The sequence below is a fragment of the Homo sapiens genome, chromosome 8 (genome assembly GCF_000001405.40).
Source record: "Homo sapiens chromosome 8, GRCh38.p14 Primary Assembly".
NCBI classification, from domain to species: Eukaryota; Metazoa; Chordata; class Mammalia; order Primates; family Hominidae; genus Homo; species Homo sapiens.
Window position 1 is genome coordinate 30,061,539 of NC_000008.11, and position 22,505 is coordinate 30,084,043.

The window sequence follows — 22,505 nt, forward strand, 5'->3', positions numbered from 1 at the left end:
ATGGCAAAATCACAGCTCACTGCAGCCTTAATCTCCCGAGCTCAAGTGATCCTCCCACCTTAGCCTCTGGAGTAGCCAGGACTACAGGTGCATACCACCATGCCCAGCTAATTAAAATAATAATCTGTAGAGATGAAATCTTGCTATGTTGCCCAGGCTTGTCTCGAACTCCTGGACTTAAGCAATCCTCCTGCCTTAGACTGTACTATCTTATTATTCTAAGTTTTACATTTGGGGAAGTGATACATGTGAACCTTTTCCATAGACAACAAAGGGCCGGGAGTAGTGGTTCATGCCTGTAATCCCAGCACTTGGGGAGGCCATGGTGGGAGGACTGTTTGAGGCCAGGAGTTCGAAACTAGCCTGAGCAACATAGTGAAACACCATCTCTACCAAAAAAAAAAAAAAAAAAAAAAAGTTCTTAAATGACAAGGAAGTACAAATACACAACAGATAAAAGAGGAACACTCAGGTGGGGCTTGAAACCTATACTCTGCCTCTTTTCCTCCCTTCCCTCCAGGGACCCTCTAAAGAACCTCATAAGAACACCACTAGGGCTCCCCAGAGTAATCTAAAAGCCACCAAGTCAACTCTTTTTTTTTAAAGCTATCGCCTACAGGAAGAACAGTCAACTCTCTTTACATTAACTCATTATTTTCTTACAATCCCAATGATCTGCAGTACTATGTTCAAAAACAATCTGAGTAAGCCGGGCGCGGTGGCTCACGTGTGTAATCCCAGCACTTTGGGAGGCTGAGGCAGGTGGAACACCTGAGGTCAGGAGTTCGAGACCAGCCTGGCCAACACAGTGAAACCCCATCTCTACTAAAAATACAAAAACTTAGCTGGGCTTGGTGACAGGAGCCTGTAATCCCAACTACTCAGGAGGCTGAGGCAGGAGAATTGCTTGAACCCAGGAGGAGGAGGTTGCAGTGAGCCGAGATCATGCCACTGCACTCCAGCCTGGTGACAGAACGAGAGACTCTGTCTCAAAAAAAAAAAAAAAGCAACAAACTACATTCTCTTTTATTCCATATCCTTCTACTAAGGAGAAATGGGGTAAGGATTTAGTGGGATATACATAAAGTAAAGCTGTGTTTCTTCTATCAGTTAAAATTTCTACTGTTTTACTGATGAAAAGAGGATAGTTTTATTATGCAATAGTCTTAATAAGGGTTTGTTTTAAATTGGTTCTTATTGGTTGGTGAAAAGTAACTGCAGTTTTAAATGGCAAAAATCATTAAACACATAAGATATAAAACTGGGGCTTTGAGGTTATGAAGCTTAACTAAGTGTAACCATGCAATCTCTGATGGGTTGGGAGGCTTGGAGATTTAATTATTTTTTTCAAACGCTATTTTTTGGCAGAGGCTTCCACACCATTTGTAAATTACTTTTTGAAAACATTTACCAAAAGACTAAGGTACGACTACCACATAAAATTACTGTTTAGGGAGACAGAACTTCTGCATGAACTTTCCCCTTTGGGAAAAAGGGTTTAAAAAAACAAAAAGTAACATTTATTTGCGCCTAGGCTAATAGAAAGAATGAGACTAAACCCCTTGTTTGTTTTTATTGATTCTTTTTAAGATTGAAACAGACTATTACAACAATATTTGAGATTTCACAGAGAACTGCATGCTTTTGTTATTAAAAGACTTTTGTTGAAAAATTTGACCTTTACCTCTTATGAACGAAAGAAATATAGAGGTTTCAAGCATTTTTGCCAGCACAGAGTCATTCACAACAACCTTCTAGATGCTTATTTTCTACCTTTTCCTACAGAAGGTAATATTCAGTTACCAGAAGGCCATCTCCACCACTGAATGATTCAAAGCTTCAGAGCTCAAAAGTGATCAGAACTCACAAATTAGCATAATTAGTCCAAAGCTTGATTTAAATGTTTGAAGAACAGCAAACATCAAATAATATAATACCAAATAGAATATTATAGTCTCTATGAGGTAATAACTCATCAGCTACAACCACCTAAAACTGAAATTTTCTGTACTTAGTTTCTATTAGTACAACACCTTCATTCTTAATGCTTCTTAGGGCATCACAGGTTTTAGAAATTAATGTATTTTTAGCATTCCACAGTAATGATCACTTTCAAAAACTGCAATATACATCTGCATGTTACACTGACATACAACACATAAGTATTTTGTCACACATCAACTTTTAGCCTCAAATAATAGAATACAAAAAGCTACACTGGACATAACACCACAGAACTTTTGAATATCCCCTTTTCCCAATTGTTAACAGGTAGTACTTTTTTTCTAAAGAGAAAGTGATGAAAAATCCAAAATTTCTGCATCCAGTGTTTGACTCCAACTTTCTACTTTATCGTCTCCTGGTACCACCATATCCTAGAATGAGAGGGGTAAAATTTACATTAGTTTTTAAAAATGCATTAGAATTGCTTATAAAATTACAAGTCATACATGTTTATTGTCAGCAAATGAATGAGATAGGAGGAAAGGAAAGAGTGTGCCACTAGGTGGAACTGGGCTAAGCAGGACAGTGCATCGCCTCCCACAGCAACCTTCCCAATCATCAAGCCTACTACACTCACACATGGTTGCTGGGAATGACAGTTAGGACCCCAAAAAAGAGAATGCATTCTATAGTGGGGCCACCATGGTACAGGCAATACTCAAAGTCTAAGCCAAAAAGACAGAGGCCAGTGGCGCATAAGCCATGCCCTGCTACCTCTCACAACTCCAGTGGTAAGAGACGTAATGTGGGGAGGGTTACGGACTTTAGATGCTTAAACGTTACTTAAGACACTGTGCGCACACACACAGGCTACAGGATGACAAATCTTCCTATCTAGAAAGTCTCTCAATTATTTTCAGGTTTACATTATTTGGTTTTTATGATTTTCTTTCATATAATTCCCATACATTTCTAGTTCATAGTCATGATTTTATGCAAGTCTTCTTTCCACTGAGAATGAATATTTTTCTGTCATGATGTCTTACCTAGCCATATATATATATATATATATATATATATTTTTTTTTTTTTTTTTTGAGACAGAGTTTTGCTCTTGTTGCCCAGGCTGGAGTGCAATGGTGCAATCTCGGCTCACTGCAACTTCTGCCTCCCGCGTTCAAGCGATTCTCCTGCCTCACCCTCCCAAATAGCTGGGATTACAGGCATGTGCCACTACACCCAGCTAATTTTTGTATTTTTAGCAGACATGGGGTTTCACCATGTTGGGCAGGCTAGTCTCGAACTCCTGACCTCAGGTGATCCACCCATCTCAGCTTCCCAAAGTGCTGGTATTACAGGTGTGAGCCACCGTGCCTGGCCTTACCTAGTCATATTTTTATATATTCTCCCAACTCCTTTTTTTCTTCCCAGAAGTACCTACTATCTCATACTCTAACACCATAAATTAGTTTTGCCTGTTTTTGCATGTGTATTTTATAAAATGTAACTGCTATCATCATAGTGTATATATTATTTTGTGTCTGGCTTCTTTATATTTGGTAGATCTATCCATGTTATTGCACACAACTACTTATTCTTAGTTGCACAGTAACCCACTGCAATACAGCAAACATAACTCAATTTATTCATCCATTTTACTGCTGATGGATACGTGGGCTGTTTCCAGTTTTGGGCAATTATGAATAGGGATGCTATGAACAGTCTTGTGCTTATCTGCCAGCACACAAGTGTATGCATTTCTGTGGCGATATATCTGAGAGCAAAACTGCTCTGTCCTTTGGAAGTATGCATAGGTTCAATTTTAGGAGGTAGTACCAGTTTTTTTAATTGAATGTATCAATATATATCCAAACCAGCATTATGAGAATTCTACTCACATTTTAAAACATATTTAAATATATTTTTCTATCAATTTCAAGAATTAATCATTGTTCTATAACTTCCTTTTCCTGAAAGACAAAGCTACTCCAGAGCAATCTCTCATGGCCTCCTTACCCAGCAGCTCCCAATTAGGCTTGATGCTTAATCCAGTTATTCCTTTGTTTTTTTTGTATCTTTGCTTTTTACAAAATATCCTCTGAGCATTCCAATAAACATTACAATCATATTTTTGAAAATTAAAGTATACCTCAATATCTTTTTTGAATGTTATTGAATTTTAAGTTTAAGCTTCTACTTAGAAAAGTCTAGTTTAGAACTTAAAGGATCTCTAGAGATCACAGAATTAAATATATGGGGAAGCTAGCACCCAGTAAGGTTCAAGTTAAAACCTTGGTCTATGGTAGAGCTAAGCCTAAATCAAATCCCTGTTTGATTTTTAAAGAATGTTTAAAAGTGGGATCTCAGTTAACTGTGCTATTAATATTTTTGGTAGGTACACCAAATAAAACCATGGTTGCTAAACAGATAATCATCTTCTAAAGTTCCCAAACTATTTCTGTACTTTACTCCTAGGTAAAAGGAACTTGTATTTTTTGCTCTTACCTGATGCAGTTCTGGTTTTCGTGTCTGAGTTTGAACATACCGAATAGCTGCCCGAGCCTCCATGAAGGGGTGAGTAAGCCCTATTCCACGTGCCAGGGTAGGAGGGAGGATAGGACGGGTAGTACCACGAGTCTGAGAAGGGTGTTGCCGCTCTTTAAAGGGATAAAAGTAGGTTAGGCATTTTTTTCTTGTGGCTATAATTTTTAAATACCTTCCTGTTCCTAAACTGTCAGAAAAAAATATCTTTATCAAGTATTTTTTCCTGAATGTTCTGGTATATCAGAGTTAACATGAAATAAAAACCGTTTCATATTTCTGCCATTATTATGGTCACTGCTATGGGGGAAAAGTGACAGGGAGTCAATGCTCTTTCTGAATTTGCACTCGAATAAAATCTAAACTTAAACTACCATTAATACTTCATATTCCAAAATCTGGCCCCAAGCTCTTTCCAGCCTTATTTTTATCATTCTCCTACCAAACCAGACTGTTCCCCAAATGCTGTCTTCTTTCCTGCCTTCTTATTTTCTCAGATGTCAACTAAACAGTCTTTTTCTTATCTCATAATATATATGAAGGTGACACAGGAAGAAACACAGTGAAAGAAAATAACATACACAATACTGATCAAAACAAATATAGTGTACCTTCCCCCTTCCCAGAGAATCTTATTTAATAGGCTAACGTCACCACAATTTATTTTCCTTAGCAAAACTAAATGCAGTTAAATTGTAAGCAAAACAAGCCTCTTGAATTAAAGAGCAAGTGAGATCAATGCAAAAAGCTTACCTATTGCTGCCAAACAAATATCCTAGTATTCCACCAGTTCCCAAGCCTGTCCAGAACCCTGGTCCTGAATTTTCATATCCTTGTTGTCCTGTAAAAGCACTGCCAAAACCAGAAGTTGCACCATGGCCAGTATTCTGTGGTCCTTAAAATAAAAATGATTTATTATGTATCCTCACTTAAACATGACAGTCTACAAAAGCAAAGATAATGTAACATTTCAATTATTTCATCTGTACTGAATTATTAATAATACTCAGGCATCAAGTTATTAACAAGTTGTATTCAAAAAGGTATTTGTAAAATACTGGTTTATAATGAGGGAGAGCATTTCCCATAGATATGGGAGGAGAGGGATAGATTTTGGGACTGGGGAGGGTCTTGCTATAAAATGACATCTGCCCTGCTCAATCAGCTACTAGAAAATCACCCCACTTTTCAGGGTTACTTTCTCTCTGCAGTACAAACTCTAAGTGGAGTCTCTAAGAGCTCCAGATGAGAGCTGTGCCTCAGTCTCTAACCGAGGAATCCAAGGGGAGGCAGCCAGATATTTATTTGTGTCAGTTGGGAAGTCAGATCTCAAAGGGACCTAAAAAGTATCTTCTGCTCAGAGGAAGTTTTAACTGATGTATACATATATATAAGAAAGTGTGCTAATCTTACACGTGTGGCACAACAAATTTGTACATATGTACCTATCCATGTAACCACCACCCACACCAATAAACCATTTCTGGCACCCCAGAAGGCTCCCTCATGACAACTCCTAATAGATTCCCATCTATGTCAGAGATCAGCACTACTTTAACTTCTCTTACCATATTTTAATTCTGTCCATTCATGAACTTTTTCTAAACAGGATCACAAAGTATGTATTCTGTGTCCGGCACATCATTATGTCTATGGGAGTCAATCCTACCATTGCATTATCAGTTTTTTTCTTAACTCATGTGTCTTCCACCGTGTGAAAAATTTACACAGTCCCATTCTAATGTTTATGGATATTCCACCTCCATTTTTTGGCAGTTATAAATAAAACTGCTATGAACATTCCTGTGCATCTTTCTTGGTGCACCATGCATTCACTTCTCCCAGGTATGTACATAGGAATAGAATTGGGTATGCATGTTTGGGTTGTTTTACCATTTAAACTCCTACCGGCAAAGTATGAAAGTTCCAGTCACTCTACATTCTTGCCCATACTTGGTACTCTGTCTTTTTAATGTTAGCCATTATGGTGGTTATCTGGTGGCTAAAAATAATCTCCCTGTGGTTTTCATCTGCATTTCTCAGGAGACTAATGATGCTAAGCACCTTTTCTTATTTCTGTTGAACATGTAAATCATGGGTTGGGACCCCAGTACTGCTCCACGGCCTGTTAGGAACTGAGCCACACAGCAGGAGGTGAACAGCAAGCAAGCGACTGAAGCTTCATCTCTATTTAAAGCCACTCCCCCATCACTTGCATTACTACCTGAGCTCAGCCTCCTGTCAGATCAGCAGCAGCATTAGATTCTCATAGGAGCACAAACCCTACTGTGAACTGCACATGCGAGGGATCTAGGTTGCATGCTCCTTATGAGAATCTAATGCCTGATGATCTGTCACTGTGTCCCATCACCCCCAGATGGGACCATCCAGTTGCAGGAAAACAAGCTCAGGGCTCCCACTGATTCTACATTACATGAGTTGTTAATTATTTCATTATATATTACAATGTAATAACAACATAAATAAAGTACACAATAAATGTAATATGCTTTAATCATCCCAAAACCTTCTCTCCCCACCCCACCCCACCCCAACCCCCCTAGTCCGTGGAAAAATTGTCTTCCACAAAGCTGGTCCCTGGTGCCAAAAAGGCTGGGGACTGGTGAAGTAGATGTCTTCTCTTATTATAAAATGGGCATTCAAGTCCTCTTTGGAGGGCCTGTCTGCCTGTTGCTCAGATTTACAGGAGTTCATTTTATGTTCTACCGGAAATACATTTTATATATATATATGCCGGAAATACGTTTCGTAAATTTTTCCCAGTCTGTAGCTTGCCTTTTCACTCTCCTAATAGTGCCTTTTGATGATTAGATGTTCTTAATTTAAATAAAGTCTAATTTACCCATGTTTTCTTTTATGGCTAGTACTTTTTATGTTCTGTTTAAGAAATCTTTCCCTATCCTAAGGTCATAACAAATATTCTCCTATGTTTTATTCTGGAAACTTAATTGTTTTACCTTTTACGTTGAGATTTATAATACTTAAAGAATTAATTTTTATGTATAGTGTGAGACAGGAGTCAGGGCAAATGATTATTAGCAAAGTTGATCAAGTTTCTCTGATTAAGAGTATTTATAATTTAATCAGGCATTTTTTTTTTTTTTTTTTTTTTGGAGACAGGGTCTCGCTCTGTCACTCAGGCTGGAGTGCAGTGGCGCAATCTCGGCTCACCGCAACCTCCACCTCCCGGGTTCAAGTGATTCTCATGCCTCAGTCTCCCAAGCAGCTGGAATCACAGGTGCCCGCCACAACACCCGGCTAATTTTTGTATTTTTAGTAAGAACGGCGTTTTACCATCTTGGCCAGGCTGGTCTCAAACTCCCAACCTCAAGTGATCTGCCCACCCCGGCCTCCCAAAGTGCTGGGATTACAGGCGTGAGCCACCGCGCCCGGCCAATCAGGCATTAACATAGCAACCACAATATACCTTGGGAGAGAGCCAAACAGAAGAGGTAAAAGAAGTTGAAAGTAAAAAACAAAATGAGAAGACAAACCTCCTTTGGTTTCCCAATGCAACGATTTTCTATTTCAGAACCAAGCACAGGATGCACTAACCTCACACCCGCTCTATTTATGGCCACTGCGAGGGAAACATACCTGTGAACTCAGACTTAAAGCCTGGGGGAGGAGGTCCTGCTGAGTTGGTGAATCTCTGGTAACGGTGGGAAAATGGAGGATACTCAGAGTACGGTGGAGGAGAATACTGCCCGTCACTCAGGAACAGCTTATAGACTACAAACGCGATCCCAAGGAGTACCACAATGGTAATCAATCCACTCATGTTACAGGAATCCGCCGAGGACCACTTATAATAATAATCAGAGAAAGAGGCAAAGCCGTGCTGCTTTCCAGACTCCTTCAGTTTCTGCAGGCCAAGTTCTGTATAATCTAAATTATACTCCAAGCCACAAGAACCTCTTAGTACATACTGGTCTTCAGAGGACTCATAGCCTTCACAGCTCACCACAGTTTTTCCAAATTTGTATGCAATATCTAAGTCCGTCTTACATTCCCACTGTGAAGAAAAATAGAAACAGACTATTAGAAACAAACATTTTTTTCATTTAATATATGTTACTTGGGGGCCGGGCGCAGTGGCTCACACCTGTAATCTCAGCACTTTCGGAGGCCAAGGCGGGTGGATCACGCGGTCAGGAGTTCAAGACCCGCCTGGCCAAGATGGTGAAACCCCATCTTTATTAAAAATACAAAAATTAGCCAGGCGCAGTGGCAGGCGCCTATAATCCCAGCTACTAAGGAGGCTGAGGCAGGAGAATCACTTGAACCTGGGAGGTGGAGGTTGCAGTGAGCTGAGATCGTGATTGCACTCTAGCCTGAGCAACAGAGCAAGACTCCGTCTCAAGAAAAAAAAAAATGTTACTTGGGCTATATATCCGTCATAAAATTGCAAAATGAAGCAAGGGAATGATCCGCAAAATTCACAATGGTAAGTATTCATGTCTAAGGGAAGGAAAATGAGGGGCTTCAAAGATAATGGTGGTATCTGTGTTCTACTTCTTATGCTGGATATTGCGTATATGAGTATTCGTTTTATTACTATTCTTTACATATACATGTTATATATCCATCTGAACATATTAAGTATTCTACAATTTATAAAATTTAAGCAAACTGCCAAAATGTCAACTTTTTGCCACTGTTGTTCAAGATGCTTTCTTTAAAAATCCAGATTTCTTAAAAGATGTTAAGGCTCAAAACAGCATCATATATGAATGTCTGGTAGCTACACAAAGCAACAGAGATATTACATAACCTTCAGAGAAAAAAACTTTTCTACACAAATTTTATAAAACCATGGACTAACTTTCCAAGGTCCAATTCTATGTAATTCTCTTGTATTTTTTAAAGATATTTAGAAAAATGCAAAAAGAACCCAGGCTAGCCCCAAAAATGTCCACCTTATAAAAAAATATATGCCCAAGTTTGGTCTAGATTCTATATTTTGTGGTGGAAAAAGCAATATGCTTCTTTAACTCTTAAGATACAAGCTAAAGGCCAGGCGCGGTGGTTCATGCTTGTAATCCCAGCACTTTGGGAGGCCAAGGTGGGCGGATCACCTGAGGTCAGGAGTTCAAGAACAGCCTGGCCAAAATGGCAAAACCCCATCTCTACGAAAAATACAAAAATGAGGTGGGCATGGTGGCAGGCGCCTGTAATCCCAGCTACTTCAAAAATAGAGGCTGAGGCAGGAGAACGACTTGAACCCAGAGGCAGAGGTTGCAGTGAGCCAAGATCATGTCACTGCACTGTACTCCAGACTGGGTGACAGAGGGAGACTCCGTCTCAAAAAAAATGAAAAAAGACACAAGCTAAAGTAGATTTAATTGGTTCTGTTGCCCTTCTGCAAATTTTTGTACAAATTATTTTCCTCTTTCAAAGTTCACACTATTTTACTTCATTTATAATAGCCTTATTGAAATATAATTCACACATACCATACAATTCACCCATTTCAATGGTTTTAGTATATTCACAGTTGTGCTACTGTCACCACAATCAATTTTAGAATATTTTCGTCACCCCAAAGAAATATTGTGCCCATTAGCAGTCACTCTCCATTCTCCCGCCGCACACCTCCCAACCAACTTTCTGTCTATATGGATTTCCCTAAATGGACAGTTCACAGGAATGTAATAATACAATATGTGGTCTTTTGTGACTGGCTTCTTTCACTTAGCATAACATTTTCAAGATTCATCCACGTTGTAGCATGTATTACTATTTCACTTTTTTATGGCTAAATAATATTTCTTTGCATGGATATACCACTTTTATTTATCGTTCATTAGTAATGGACATTTGAATTGTTTCTACTTTTTGGCTATTATGAATAATGCTGCTATGTATATTTGTATGCAAGTTTTTGTGTGGACATGTGTTTTCAATTCTCTTGGGTGTATATACCTTGGAGTGGAATGACTGAGGCATACATGGTAACTCTACATTTAAACTTTTGAGGAACTGCCAATTTTCCAAAGCAGCTGGACCATTTCACATTCCCAACAGCAGTGTATGAGGGTTCCAATTTCTCGACATCCTCACCAGCCTTGTTATCTTTTTTATTATAGCCTTCCTACTGAGTGTGAAGTGGTATCTTACTGTGGCTTTGATTTGCATTTCTCTGATGGCTAATAATAAGGAACACTTTTCATGTGCTTATTTATTACTTATATATCTTCCTTGTAGAAATGTCTATTCAGATGCTCTGCCATTTTTACCTTGGTTGTTTTCTTACTGAGTTGTAAGAGTTATTTTATATTCTAAATACAAGTCCCTCACCAATTATGATTTGCTAAGCTTCCTCCCATTCTGTAGGTTGTCTTTTCACTTTCTTGATGATGTCCTTTGATAGTCAAAAGTTTTTCATTTGGATAAGATGCAGTTTTTCTTTTGTTGCTGTTACTACACTGTTTTTAAAATAATTTTATTTGGAGGAAGATTCATAGGTTTGTTGACTTAGGTAAATAAAACAAGCTAAACTTGTATTGGTATTTCATGTTAACTACCACTTCCTTAATCATGCGTACTTACAAGTAGCTTCTAAGTACTGTATTTAAATTTCAACTCTTGGAATAGAAGGAGTTTCTGTCCTGCTACTAAATGGCCTCTCTCCTGCTACTAAACATAAGCCAATGTATGATATGCTCAACACTCCTTTGCTCATGCTATTCCCTTCTCTAGCCTTTCCTCTCTAAAAATGTTATCATTCCTTCCTAACACAGCACAAATGTCTCATCCTTTAAGTCCCAATGGCTCCAACCAGACGTGACTTTATAATGTTGTGTTGGGACCTACATGTAATCTGAGTGCCTGTCTTACCTCTTCTACTAGTAAGACAGTTTCTTCATTCTACCTTATTCATTTTTGTATATTGCAATTAATACATGCTTAATGAATGACATCACCATTACTGCCTTTTTTTCCCATCAAGACTCTAAAAGTCATAAGTAAAGTGGAGTGAGACTTCTGCTATAACCCAGAGAATTCTATGATTCAACTTAGCAGTACTGGGGGAAAATATTGTGAAGTAAGTATCACCCAGTACACATCAACTTCCTCTCTGAATTGCAAAGACCACGCATAAAGGTTGTATCAAACAAGAATATCATTCTGATGGAGAGGGGAAATCGTCAACATAAGTTTCTTGCCTTGTGACCAGTCGTCTTAAATCAATTTTGAAAGCAGTCAGAATACAAAGTAGAAATATGTAACTAGTGATTTAAACTGAATTCATTTAATAAAATCTATCTCTAAAGCATATTCAGTTTTGGAACTTCAAGGAGATGCTCTGCTCGTATACAAAACACCAGCGTCCCAAAGGCAATCAATGAAACCTGCCGAAATGCTTCCTTTCAAAAGTAACCACCCTCAGTTCTAAGACAATTTTAAAATCAAGTGCTAGAAGCACAATAGAGATATATGAACCCCTACTATTTACGATCTATAATTCCTAATTATCTTAACTTTGTCTTAAGGGTAGGTTGGTATTCTTTGAGGAACGACAGGAAAATGACAACCATAAGATATCCCCTATCCCTCACCCTCAAGTATATAAAAAGTTGTGAAAATTTACAAATATCTTAGAAGGAGGTCACGATACAAAAACTAAAATGAGTATTTTCAGGCTTTAAAATCAGTTCATTTCTTTTGGAGGCCATTTCTTCCACAGGAAGAGTGATTGATTTACTTACATATTTTAGGCTGATCTGAGATTTCCGTAGGTGCACCCTCAAAAGACTGAATAATGTCCCAATAAACAATTTACTGAATAAAAACCCCATTTAGACTGCCATTACTGTAGTGGATATTACCTGTACATCATACCCATCCCAGCCTTTGTTCTGACACTGTATGACTTTTGGGGTATAAGAATCACAACCAGCTGTGCCTCCAACACATTTCAACTGTGGGATGGGATCCAGCCTGCGGGAGGTGGTATAGCGGTCATAGTGGAGGGTAAGAGCTTTTACATCCCGCAGCAACATTCTGTCTGAAACAGCAAGAAAACAGAGGAACACAAAGTAAGTATCGTGTCAGAGAAAGAAAGGTTCATCCTAACGAAACTCTCGTCATAGGAAATGCCTTTCTTGCCTTCTGAGGATGGCTAAGAGAGGATGAATCTATTTCTCAAAACTATCCCAACAACATTCAGGCCTTCTGAACAAAATTCAGGTCACACTTTTAAGATCTCCCTGCATTTCAGGCCAGATGCTTCTACAGCACAAGTTGTACATCATTTTTGCTAAATCAAAAGAACAAAAAGTTCATTAACCTGAAACATTGTACTACTGTGTAATAATAATAGTGGTTAATTAAAATGGCAAGAATATAAGCATGTTCCTGAAGCACATTTAATGCTTTAAATGTCCATCAACAGGTGAAGAAATTAACACATTCTGACCTATTACAGTGGAATATTACATAGCAGTTAAAATGAGTGAACTAGAATTCATGTATCAAACTAGATAGATGGCAAAAACATTTTAAACAAAATACAAGTTGCAGAATGTTTTGTATGACAGCTTTACATAAACCTTTAAAAAAGGCAAAACAGTACTACATACTGTTAATGTCTATATATGTATATAATAACAACATGAAAACATGTATGGGAAGGATTTAACACCAAATTCAAATAAGTATCTAGTCTAGGGAGAGAGAAAGAAAAGAGATTTTAGCTCTATTCCTAATGTTTTATTACTGGGAGTGGGGGATTTGTAGCAAATATGGCAAAATATAAAGATTCAATAAAACTGGGTGATGACTATGTGTAGGTTCATTGTACACTTCTGTATGTTTAAATACTTTAGGTATTTCATAATTTTAAAAATCAAAACTATTTAAACTATTTCACAAACTAAAAAATTTAAAACATACTGACAAGAGACTTTGAAAGGAGGAGTCAAAACAATAAAATTATGTCTGGCATTCATGTGCAAAAATGAAATTTTTAGGTTGGGTGTGGTGGCTCACACCTGTAATCCCAGCACTTTGGGAGGCCGAGGCACGTGGATCACCTGAGCTCAGGAGTTCGAGACCAGCCTAGCCAACACGGCGAAACCCCATCTCTACTAAATATACAAAATTAGCCGGGAGTGGTGGCACATGCCTGTAATCCCAGCTACTTGGGAGGGTGAGGCAGGAGAATCGCTTGAACCTGGGAGGAGGAGGTTGCAGTGAGCCAAGATCACACCATTGCACTCCAGCCTAGGCAACAAGAATGAAACTCCATCTCAAAAAAAAAAAAAAAATGAATTTCTATGCATTATTGGAAAATAAGGACAAAGTCTTCCTATTTATCATGTTGTGGATTATTGATGGAAGATGCTGTGGATTGGCTCAGTCAACATCCACTTCACCCTCAAACAGGTATGCCTTCCTGCAAAGCAAAAGGAATCCCAAAACCTCTTGCAGCTATAGTTGCCAAAAGCAATTTCAGTTCTGCCAACCAGAGGGACTCGAGCAAAATCTGGAAAGCAGACCCTAGACTTATACAGTGCTCTGTCCTTCAGCTAGTAAACACAGGCATGGAGACCATGAGTTTTCAAACTGATAGTATCCTCTAATCAGCTTCCTGGCTGTCATGAAGCTTGACATGAACAATCTATTTTTCAATGTGGCAGATGTAATAGGCATCGCTTTCTACCATTTTGTGAGTACCCAATTCCCTATATTCAACCTGTCAGATTAGCAGAATTTGCAGCCTCCCAAAATTCTACTAAAACTATAATAAATACATTGTTTTGATGATGTGAATGACTGTGGTCAGGTAAAACGAAAGAGGAGATGACAGCAGAATTTTGGAAGGAGAAAGTAAATGGACTAGTGGTAGATGACTAGACCTAAGTGAAAGACAAATGCCAGAACAGCAAAGGGGGAAACTGAGAATCAACCTGATGTACATAACAGAATCCCTAAAAAAAAACAAAAAAAAAAAAACAAAAAACGGGAAATGGCAGCTCTGGAATGGGAGATGCCTGGAATACACACTACAGGGTGAAAGCTACTTGAGAGGAAGCCATATTCCCAGATCCTCTCCCCAACTCCACACTGTTCTAACTCCCTCTTCCCCACTAAGGAAACTGTCTGGAGATGTATTCTCTGGAGAGGATAAAACTGAAGGGATTTGCATTGGGGACCATCTGGCATAGTAAAGGGCATGGGGACAAAAACAACCAAACAGGGAACCCAAGTGACTGTGTGCACTCTGACTGCTGAAAGCACAGTTCTCCTTCCCCACATGGTGCACAAAATGCTAACAGCCATCCCCTTGTCCTCTGTGGGAGACTGGATGACTATTCCCTTGGTAATCTAACCAAGAAGAAGTACCTAAATACACTGACATCAGGAACTTCCTCCAAAAAAGAGCAACCTAGGTCACCCTGTTGTGAAGTTCAAAATCAAAAGTGCAACTGCACACTGATAGCTTCCAATGAGCTTTTTGGTTCCCCAGAATTAACCATGAGCAGGGAGCCAAGGATTACTAAAAATATGAGGAAAGTCCCTGCTATGGTTTGAATGTGTCCCCCAAAGTTCACATGTTGGAAACTTAATCCCCAATGCAACAGTGTTGAAAGATGGAATCTTTAAGAGGGCTCTGCCCTCATGAATAGATTAATGCTGTTCTTGCAGGACTGGGTTAGTTATCGCAGGAGTGGACTCCTGATAAAAGGATGAGTTAGGCCCCTTTCCCCTCTCTCACTCTCTCCCTTCTGCCTTCCACCATGGGATGACACAGCAAGAAGGCCCTCACCAGATGCTAGCACCTTAATATTGAACTTCTCAGCCTCCAGAACTGTGAGAAATGAATTCAGTTTTTTAATAAATTTCCCAGTCTGTGGTATTGTGTTACAGTAACATTAAACAGACAAAACAGCCCCTAACATGAAATACAGCAACCAGGACAAAACAACAACAAAAGGAAGCAGGAGGAAAAAAGAGATGACGCACAAGAAGAAAACTTTTTTAAAAACACTGTAATATCCTCAGAGAGATAAGAGAAAAAGACTGCGTTAATAAAACAATCATTTTTAAAAGGGATACTCAGAGAAAAAACAAGAGCTTTTGGAAATTAAAAACAGGACAGCCAAGATTAAAAACAACAGAACTGCCAGGTGCAGTGGCTCATGCCTGTAATCCCAGCACTTTGGGAGGCCAAGGCAAGCAGATCACTTGAGCCCAAGAGTTTAAGACCAGCCTAAGCAACATGGCAAAACCCTGTCTCTACAAAAAAAATTATAACATTAGCCAGGTATGGTGGCACACACCTGCAGTCCCAGCTACTTAGAAGGCTGAGGTGGGAGAATCACCTGAGCCTGGGGAGGTCGAGGCTGCAGTGAGCCATGCACTCCAGCCTGGGTGATAGAGTGAGACCCTGTCACAAAACATAAATAAATAAATACATACATACGACAGAACTGTTAAAAGAAAATCTTCTAGAAAGTAGAGCAAAAAGAGGCCGGGCGTGGTGGCTCATGCCTGTAATCCTAGCACTTTGGGAGGCCGAGGCAGGTGGATCACGAGGTCAAGAGATCAAGACCATCCTGGCGAACACGGTGAAACCCCGGCTCTACTAAAAATACAAAAATTAGCTGGGGATGGTGGCGCGTGCCTGTAGTCCCAGCTACTCGGGGGGCTGAGGCAGGAGAATTGCTTAAACCCAGGAAGCAGAGGTTGCAGTGAGCCAAGATTGTGCCACTGCACTCCAGCCTGGCGATAGAGCAAGGCTCCATCTGAAAAAAAAAGGAAAAAGAAAAAAGAAAGTAGAGCAAAAAGATAGAAAGTAGGAGAGAAAGGCTGGGCACAGTGGCTCACGTGTGTAATCCCAGCACTTTGGGTGGCCGAGGCAGGCAGATCACAAGGTCAGGAGTTCGAGACCAGTCTGGCAAATATGGTGAAACCCCGTCTCTACTAAAAATACAAAAATTAGCCAGGCATGGTGGCGGGCACCTGTAATCCCAGCTACTCAGGAAGATGAGACAGGAGAATCGCTTGAACCCGGGAAGCAGAGGTTGCAGCGAGCCGAGATGGTGCCACTGCACTCCAGCCTGGGGGACAGAGCTAGACTCCGTCTCAAAAAAAAAAAAAAGAAAGAAAGAAAAAAGACAGTAGGAGGAAAAAAAAAAAAAAGAAAGAAAGAAAATTACCAGTTCAGGACCAGTTCAGAAAGTCCAAAAATCCAACAAGGGCTTCTGAAAGAATGAACAAGGGAATCTGATTAGACAAACTCCAGGCTGTAATTCAAGAAAAGTTCCCACACTGAAGGACTTGAGTTGTCATACTGAAAGGGCCCAACAAATACCCAGGCCTGAGAAACAGACCACACAAAGGCACACGAAAAGTAAATTTTAGAACACTGAAGACAAAAAAAGATTCTACAAATTGCCAGAAGAATAGGGAGAAAACAAGCCATATAGAAAAGATAAGACTTAGAAAAGCTTCAGGTATCTCAACAGGATAGAAAAAGAAAATGGAGAAATATATTCAAAAACTCTAAAGGAAAAAGTCTGGCTGGGTTTGCCAACCATCGCTTTGCTAATGGTGGAACAAACTGATGTTACAACATCTCCTATGATGTATTTCCCACAAGTATTTAATATGAATCTAATCAATCTAATAAACTTAAGGTCAATACCCTATCTATATAAAAAATATATATAGAGAGAGAGACCTAAATATACTTCCAACCAGGAACCCAATAGGGTTTTTTGGGGAAAGAAATTATGTTAAAGGTCCTGTGGACAATTTTTTTTTGAAAAAGAACACATAGGTTACCAGATAGTAAAGGTTACTATAAAATTATTATCATCAGCCAGGCACGGTGGCTCACGTCTGTAACCCCAGCACTTTGGGAGGCCAAGGAGGGCAGATCACCTAAGGTCAGGAGTTCGAGATCAGCCTGGACAACATGGTGAAACCCCATCTCTACTAATAATACAAAAATTAGCTGGACGTGGTGGCATACGCCCGTAGTCCCAGCTACTTGGGAGGCTGAGGCAGGAGAATCACTTGAATCCAGGAGGTGGAGGTTGCAGTGAGCTGATATTGCTACCACTGCACTCCAGCCTGGGCGACAAGAGTGAAACTCCATCTCAAAAAAAAAAAAAAAAAAAAAGATTATAATCAAAATAGTAGGGAATTGGAACAGAGACAAGGAAATTGTGAAACAAAAGAAAGATCAGAAATAAATCAAGATACATTTGGGAATTCAGTAAGATGAAGTGGTCTTTTTAATTTAGTGGATAAAAGATGTCTTCTTTAATAAATAGCACTGGCATAATTGACTATGCAGCCACAAGAAAATCCACCTAAAGCTATATAAAAATTTAATTCCACATGGGCTACAGATCTAAAATTTCCAAGAACTATATTCAAATAAACCATGCTACATTAAACACAAACTACTACCTCCTCATACATAAAAAATAAGACAATGAAAATGTTCAATGGTTTAGAAAAATCAGACTGTATTAATCAACTAAATAACAGAAATAATAAATTGAATTTATTGTAACAGAGTTGCAATAATGCAAAGAACACTGAACTAAGTTGGTGTCACTAACTGGCTGTGACTTTGGCCAAGGCATTTAATTTACCTGTGTAGAAGTTTCCTCACCTACAAAATTAAAATATTATCAACCTTGAAATTTGTTGTGAAGCTTAGATATAATTTATTATCTGGCTGAGTACTTGAAGCATAACAGGTGATCAGGTATGATAAATATTACTGAAAGTTTTAAGATGGAATAGCATTACCATAATCCTATAGCATCTTTCTTCCCTAGAGATTCTTAAGGTCCAAGAACAAAATTCTAATACCCACGCCCCACTAGTTAGATCAGTCAAGGGACACAGGAGCTCCCTGAACTCCAGACTCATAAATCAAAATCACGGCAGGTCTCAAACAAGATAAACAAAACCAAACTCCCCTAAACCTGATCATCCCACATTCTTCCACATCTCAGGAAATGGTTAACTCCATGCTTCTAGTTGCTCAAGCCAAAAACCTTGGACTTCTCATCTTCTCTCCTCTCACTCCTACATCTGATCCTTCAGAAGATCATGTTAGCTCCACCTTCCAAACAGGTGACAAGAGAATCCAGCTACTCTAACCAGCTCTCTACTGCTCCTGCCCTGGGCCAAGCGGTCACCACTCTAAGAACTTACTGTACAATATTAAAATAGATAGCAATATATATTAATTCACTGGTTTCCCTGCTTCCCTCCTACCCTCTTCGGTCTGTTTTCCACAGAGCAGCCCAAATGAGCCTTTAAAGATATAAGTAATTTCAGGTCATTTACTCCTCCTCCCCACTTCAGGTTTCCAGTCAAATGTCACCCTAACAGTGACTTCCCTGACCAATGTACGTTTTTTAAGTCTCCACTTCTGCCCGCACACCATGTCCTCCTTACGCTGTTTATCATACACGGTGCATACCAATTTTCACAATATAGCATGTTATTTACATGTTTATCTGTTTATTGTCTATTTCTCCCCAATAGAGGTAAAGTCCTTGGAGGCAAGACACTGTTTTGTTCACTGCTATATTCCCAACACCCGGAAGAGTAACTTAATATAAGATTACATTCAATAAGGAATTTTGAAAATTCATTGGTAATCTCTTTAGAATGGTGCTAATTTTTTTTTCCAGACAAATTACTGCTCAATGTGAGCTAAAGTAATGGCATCCAAGTCAAACAAAAGATAAATTAGGGAGCCGATTAATGCTTTAGTAAAGGACTTAATAAATAGTATGTCAATAAAGTATCTTCATTTAAAAAGTTCCTCAAAGTGCCGGGTGCGGTGGCTCACGCCTGTAATCCCAGCACTTTGGGAGGCCAAGGCGGGCGGATCACCTGAGGTTGGGAGTTCAAGACCAGCCTGACCAACATGGAGAAACCCTGTCTCTACTAAAAATACAAAATTTGCCGGGCATGGTGGCACATGCCTGTAATCCCAGCTACTCGGGAGGCTGAGGCAGGAAAATCGCTTGAACCCAGGAGGCAGAGGTTGCGGTGAGCCAAGATCGCGCCATTGCACTCTAGCCTGGGCGACAAGAGTGAAACTGTCTCAAAAAAACAAAACAAAACAAAAAAGTTCCTCAAAGTAAACTTTGAAGTAGAATTTACATAAAACAATTGAGTTTACTCTGCAAAATATTGTGGTGCTTTGTGTTCCAGAACAATAGTTTTACAGCGTAGATAAACCAGGAAGTGGTTCATCTTTAATTTAAATTTGGTTCTTCTTTCATAGTTTTTATAGTTCTTCTGGCTCTTCAACTGTAAACTTCCTTTATTAAATTTATTTACGAACTGATTCAAAGTTCAACAAATTAAAGTTTCATTCTAGGTTTTCACTTGTAATTCTGATCAAGTCTCCCACTCATACACAGCTTTCTAGAAATACAAAAGAAAAACGTACAGACATTTAAATACAACTTGGCTTTTTATTTTTGGTAATAAAATGTCCACATCAAATGACTACTCAACGTGATGTGCTTGCAAATAGCACCTTCTCTCTCATTTCAGCATGTAAGAATAGGCTATTATAGAAATAAACCTGTTGCTTAAATTCGACAATGCAGGCATTTCCAATCACCAAATCACAAAGGCAATATGCTTTCCATGCCATCTTTACTTCGCAAAGCAAAAATGATGTTGTTTTCATTTTTTTTTTTTTTTACAGAATTCCAAAGTAACAGCATGCGTCATTTATTACATGGAAAAAGTCAAAATCTGTATCTAAGTATATAGACATATACGTATTAATTGCACGGAATATTACTGATCCCATGAAAATTCTTTAGACAATTTTAATACTGTACTGACATAAAAGAACCTCTTTCCTAAAACCCACTTATCATGTACCATCACTAAAAAAAACCGAGAAAATTATTTTTTAAATTCTTCTCTACGGTGAAAGCCAATGGGAAGAGCTGGTGCCGCGCGATGTACATCACTGCAATCGTCAGATAAGAGGCAGCGGTTCTCATAAAGACGCGGTGGCTCACGCCTGTAATCCCAGCACTTTGGGAGGATGAAGGCGGGTGGATCACGAGGTCAGGAGGTCGAGACCAGCCTGGCCAACATAGTAAAACCCCGTCTCTACTAAAAATACAAAAAAATAGCCAGGCATGGTGGTGGGCACCCGTAATCTCAGCTACCGGTGAGGCCGAGGCAGGAGAATCTCTTGAACCCAGGAGGCGGAGGTTGCAGTGAGCCGAGATCACGTCATTGCAGTGCGGCCGGGGCGACAATGTGAGACTCCGACTCAAAAAAAAAAAAAAGAGTGCAATCTGCGATTCTGCTAACAGACCTGCGAGGTCTGCAGCCCTGTCCGCTAAGGGTGACTCAGAGACTGCCAGTGGCAGGCAACGGCCGGCGATAGCAACAGGCAGCCATGACAACAGCAGGCCACGATGACATCACACAGCCATAACAACAAAGCAGATGCGCAGGTGAGTGTCCAGCTCTCCAGTTATACTCAGAGATGAGAAAGACGACAATGGGCAAATTCCGGGAGTCCGGGGCAGGGAGAAAGGGGACCTTAAGGATCTCCAGCCGTCCCGCCCCGCCCACTCGAGCAGTCCCTACCCGCCTCCCAAGACGCCTGGGAAGAGCAGTGGAACCAGGGAGAGCACGAACAGCAAAGAGGTCAGACATGGGGAATCCGGGCACCCAGGCTCCGGGAAGACGGCGCACGGAAACGCAGGGGAGCCTGCACCGGCTGACGGCGGCGGAAAAGGGCGAACGAAGCGCCTGAGGGCCCTGGCAGCACTCACCAGGGTCGTTCCAGCCCAGGGCAGGGCCCGCGGTCAGCAGAAACAAATGCAAGCCGAGGAGCAAGCAGTACCCGGCCGCTCCCGGCCCGCAGGCTGCGGCCATGGCGCTCGATGAAGATGGCGCCGGGCTGCCAGACGCCTACGGGCCGAACCTGGGTGCGGTAGCGCGCGCGACGCTGCGCAGCTACACCGCTACCCCTGGCGGCGGCGAAGGAACGGCCCGACTGCAGAGCTGCAGCCGCAACGGATCCGTGCGCCAACCCTACGTCACTGCCGCTGCGGCCCGTGGGGCTCAGTGAGTGGCCGCCGTGGGCCCCCGCCCCTGGAGCACAGCGCGGCTTGGGGCGGGGCGAGGCGGTGTGGGCGGGGCCAAGGGCCTGGGGAGGCACGGCTGGAGGCGGGTTGGAGGCGTGGCGCCGCGGTGTGGGCGGGGCCGAGGGCCTGTCGCCGCCGCGCCCGCGGGCGGGGCGAGGGCAGCGCGCAGCTTTGTTGTGTCTCGTCTGAGATTCGGGAAGCTTCTGTGCGTAGGCGATGCAGTTTGAGAGGCTGAAAACGTCACGACGCGAAATCTAAGAAATGTAGTCAAATTATGTATTATTAAAACCTCAATAATTGTACCAAGGGTAGTTCTGTGCTTTATTCAGCTCTATGTGTTCAGCACTTAGCATAGCGCTTGGTACATGGTTAGTGTTCTATGACTGGTTGCTAAATACAGAGAAGATTCAAGCGAAAAGTAACAGGGAAATACATTGTCTGGTTTCAAGGCTCAGAACCTTTACATGGTTCCTTGCGCATGGAGGCCGGAAGACTATAAAATGTCAAGAGGAGAAAATATCGTCTGAATGAAGAACCAGCCAGAGAAAACAGTTCTCTGGGCTTTTGAGGTCTAGCAGGCTTGGGTTTCTTTCATTCATTCATTCATTCATTCATTCATTCATTCATTCAATGAATATATGTTGAATACCTAATACGCACCAGGCACTGTTTTAGGCATGGATGGTACAGACAAGATCCCTGTACTCATTGAAATAGAATAGGACAAACGACATACCAATTAAACAACAAAAATAATAGGTAATGATAGGTAATAACATTGATGAAAAACAGGGTGATATAATGGAGCCTGGGGACACAACTTCAGGGAGGGCCTTGCTGAGGAAGTGGTTTTTGAAGCTTGGGACCTGAATGATGAGAAAG

At 40.5% G+C, this 22,505-nt stretch overlaps 1 protein-coding gene across 2 annotated transcripts, besides 3 other annotated features; it reads right to left on the bottom strand.

Annotated features, from left to right (window-relative positions):
* Positions 1-1,464: 1,464 nt before the first annotated feature.
* Positions 1,465-21,670, bottom strand: SARAF (store-operated calcium entry associated regulatory factor). 2 transcript variants are annotated; one of them, NM_016127.6, is made up of 6 exons: positions 21,309-21,526; positions 12,339-12,517; positions 8,104-8,521; positions 5,239-5,380; positions 4,450-4,601; positions 1,465-2,375 (listed from the first exon to the last, which is right to left on the bottom strand). In NM_016127.6, exons 1-6 carry the CDS (start codon positions 21,409-21,411, stop codon positions 2,350-2,352), a joined length of 1,020 nt encoding a protein of 339 aa, NP_057211.4. In that variant the 5' UTR covers positions 21,412-21,526; the 3' UTR covers positions 1,465-2,349.
* Positions 14,918-14,967: an enhancer, noted in NCBI's record as "active region_27207". NCBI's record gives its function as "activates an Ori minimal core promoter by ATAC-STARR-seq in GM12878 lymphoblastoid cells {active_cell/tissue: GM12878}" and the evidence as "EXISTENCE:reporter gene assay evidence [ECO:0000049][PMID:35858748]".
* Positions 21,090-21,439: an enhancer, noted in NCBI's record as "active region_27208". NCBI's record gives its function as "activates an Ori minimal core promoter by ATAC-STARR-seq in GM12878 lymphoblastoid cells {active_cell/tissue: GM12878}" and the evidence as "EXISTENCE:reporter gene assay evidence [ECO:0000049][PMID:35858748]".
* Positions 21,480-21,849: a silencer, noted in NCBI's record as "silent region_19074". NCBI's record gives its function as "represses an Ori minimal core promoter by ATAC-STARR-seq in GM12878 lymphoblastoid cells {active_cell/tissue: GM12878}" and the evidence as "EXISTENCE:reporter gene assay evidence [ECO:0000049][PMID:35858748]".